This window comes from Homo sapiens, chromosome 4 (assembly GCF_000001405.40).
Source record: "Homo sapiens chromosome 4, GRCh38.p14 Primary Assembly".
Taxonomy (NCBI): domain Eukaryota; kingdom Metazoa; phylum Chordata; class Mammalia; order Primates; family Hominidae; genus Homo; species Homo sapiens.
In genome coordinates, this window is record NC_000004.12 from 114,713,107 (window position 1) to 114,716,851 (window position 3,745).

General features: G+C 37.4%; 1 pseudogene; it reads right to left on the reverse strand.

The window, feature by feature from the left end:
- On the reverse strand, nucleotides 333-1,845 carry CIR1P2 (CIR1 pseudogene 2; annotated as a pseudogene).

The following is a 3,745-nucleotide window of genomic DNA, read 5'->3' on the forward strand; positions in this document are numbered from 1 at the left end:
TCAAATGGGCATGGTTATCATAGTTATTCTGCTCCACTCTGTGTATACATAGAACATACATATACTTTTTGGTGAAAAAGGGGATCAAATAAACACGACTTATAGTTCATATAGAACTACCAGACATGGCATTTGTGCTTGAGGACTGCATATCTCCTAAAGGTACTAGACTCTGAGCTAGGGGCAGAGACTAGATGAGGCATTGGCTGTCTCTTTTATGGAAGTAGCAAGCGTGTTCCATGTGTGGAGAATAAAAGTCAAAGACTGGCTTGTACACAAATATCTGTTTTAATTTGCAAACAGCTAGATGTTACTTTCCAGCCTCTTTTTTTTTTAAATAGAGCTTTATTAATTAGAAAGACAATAGTACATCATTTAGCCCATGATAAAGGTATTCATTAAAAAGTGGAGATATTTTTATTCCCAGATAATCATCACATAGAGTCTCTCTTTAGTCTCTCATTCTGCTTCATTCTCTTTGTGTCACTTTATTATGCGTATCTCCTGGGTACTCTGTACATTTTTTTCTTCTCTGTATACATCTGTGCCATGGCTTCTGGTGTCATTTCTTCTACTACACTCTTCACTGGGACTTGGCTGTGGCTGTTTTCTTATCTCTCTTTGTTTATAGCTACAGAACTGCTTTGGCTTCCCCAGATCCTATCTTCTCTGCCATGGCTTCTGCAGCTCCCCTCCTTTCTTTCAGAGACTCTTTTCTCTGGGCTATGATTATGGCTTCTGGACTTTTTGTCAGAATCGGAATGGCTCCATTTGCCATTCTCCCTAGAACTCTTGTGTTTTAAGAACTCAGGCCTTTCCTTGGCTTTTTTCCAGTTTAGGGTAACTTTTAGAAAGTTCTTTATAAAGTTTTCTCTTTTTAGGCTTGTCCTTCTCTTCAGAATCACTGTTGTTATGCCCTGAGCTCTTGCATTTCTTTCTTTTCTTCTTTTCAATATATTTTTTCCTTTAATGTCGCTCTCACTCTACTGCTTTCTGAAGTTTCAGTAGGGGAAGAGGAGGAGGAGGAGGAAGAAGAGGATTTGTTTTTATGTTTTTTGTGTGTACTTCAGATCTTCTGAAACTTTTTCTTTTTTTCTATCTCTTTTTCTTTGTTTCTCCTCCAGTTTATCTAATTTCCTGAGAAGTTTCTGTTTTTGTTTGGTTGTTAATAACTTTAAAAATTCAACTTCTGGATCTTCTTCAGTGTCACTTACAGCAAACTCCTGTGATGGATCATTTGTGGTCAAGTTTCTCTGCAGTACATTACATTGCAGGGCAAATCCACTGTTTCTCATTTCCTCTATTGGCTCTGAGGGGTGCATTGATGGCCCTGAGCCATCACTGGGAACTGAACTTGCATTGATTCCAGAAAGACCCAACAAAGTGTATTCTTGATCTCTGTTGACATGACCCCATTTGTGACATTTAATGCCCCTCACATTTCAAACCTGAATACCAAAGGGCTGATCTCTGATGTTCATGTCATCTTTGGCATATTTTTCTTGTAGGGCTCCTTTCTGCCATTCAAATTTGTATTCAGTCTCTCCTCTATTTCTTCTTTCTCTTTGTCTACTTTTTAAGCTTCTGGTGGGGCTTCATACATGAAATTAAGACCATTCTTTACAGATTCATATCCCATAACCAAGCTATTATCATACGATTCTTGTTCTTAAAGATATTGTTGCATTAATTCTTCTTATTTCTTCTTACCATGTAATATTTTCTATTCCTCCCTCCATATTTTTTTGACATTAGATTTAGAGGTGGGATGAAAGTCCTTCTTGCACATGAAGTTGGTGAAGGATTTCCCCATCTTGGAGCTGGAGCTGGGGAAAGCAGAGACTACTGGAGTCATATGACTAAGTTCTGTTCACAGGATGTGATTGGAGGGGTTGTCTACAACTTTCAGGCCTCGTCCCTCAAATAATTCTCTCTCCCTTTGTCTTCTGGCCACTGTAGAGGATCATGCAGAAGCTTTGAGGTCCTAGGATATTGTTGAAGCATCATATGGAAAAAAAGCTGATCCTTAAATGACTGCAAGCAACAAAGCCTCTTTGACAACTTTCACTGTAGTGACATAAGCAAGAAGGAAATATTACTGTTAAAAATTACCAATAGTTTTTTTTTTCATAGTAGTTAAGCTACGTTATAGTTCCCAGCCTCCCCTAGAAGTTTACTTTTAGACTGTATTTTTTGTTTGACACTTATTCAATATATATTCCATTCCTACAAAAACATTTCAGTAACTTTGGTCACAAGAGACTGTATCTCAGTACAACTTACTATGTTCATTTGGAAACCATGTATTGTCTACTCTGTGTGAGTAATCGTGGCCATATGACTGAGTTCTAGCTGGTGGAATATAAATGGGTGTTTAGTGTGCCATTTCTGGGCTAGTAGATATGACCTTTTAAGATATCTTGCCCCTTCTGTTGGGCAGATGTGGAAAGCAACCATACCTGAAGACACAGAAAAACCCACGAAGAAAGGAGCCTAATTCCAAATCATTGCATGAGAAAAGCCACCATTTTATGTAAGCGAGAAGTGAATTTCTGTTTTTACTTATATGCATATCTACTTTTTAAATTTTTAAATTTTTAATTTTTAAATTTATTTTTATTTATTTATTGATTGATTTTTGGAGGCAGGGTCTGGCTCTGCCACCCAGGCTGGAGTGAAGTGGCATGATTTTGGCTCACTGCAACCTCTGCCTCCCAGGCTCAAGCCATCCTTCCACCTCAGCCTCCCAAGTAGCTGGAACTACAGGCATGTACCACCGCACTTGGCTAATTTTGTAGAGATGGGGTTTCCCTTTGTTGCCCAAGCTGGTCTTGAACTCCTGAGCTCTAGCAATTCTCCTGCCTTAGCCTCCCAAAGTGTTGTAATTACAGGCATGAGCCACCACGCCTGGCCACATTTCTAAACCTTCTCGTAACAGCACTCAGCATTTACCCTAAATAATAAATGGGCCATATTCTTTTACATCTCTATTGCTTCCATATAGTCAGTTTGGAGCACCCTTTTCTGACTTCTTCTCCTGAAAACTCCTATTTAACCTTCAAAAACTCATCTCAAATGTTAACTATTCACTGAGCTTTTCTCTATTCCTAGGCAGTTATTTATTCCCTTTCCCAGAATAACTAAAAATTTTATGTATCCCTATTATTGTATTTCTATTATTCAGTTATGATTGATTTGCACAATCAATCATAATTGAATAATAGAAGATTTGCACAATCTTCCCTTCTTGACAGTTAAATCATAGAGAGTAGGAATTTACTTTGTATTTCCCTGTATCTTACATGCCTCACACAGAGTAGACAATACATGGTATCCAAATGAGCAAAATAAATTGTATTGAAATAATACTCTCATGTGATCAAAGTTACTGAAATATTTCATAAGAAGCATATATATATATATTGAATAAGTGTCGAACAAAAATACAGTCTAAAAGTAAACCTTATTAAAACAGATTCAGCTTTAGAACAAATAGAACTCATTATCTGTCTGTTTCAGTATATGGAAATTCTAATAATGTCATGACCCTGATGGAAGAAGATAGAAAATGCTATAATAGAGATTTTTCTTCCCACTCACCTCAGGTTAGGAAGGGATTTTAATTATTTCTACACCAATCCATTAATTATTCACAAACTCGATGATCTGAGTGCTATCTCCATTCTGTCAGAGTAGAGTTTCAGGCTTCCCTAGGCTTTTGCTGGGTATAGGTTGTTAAAATGCA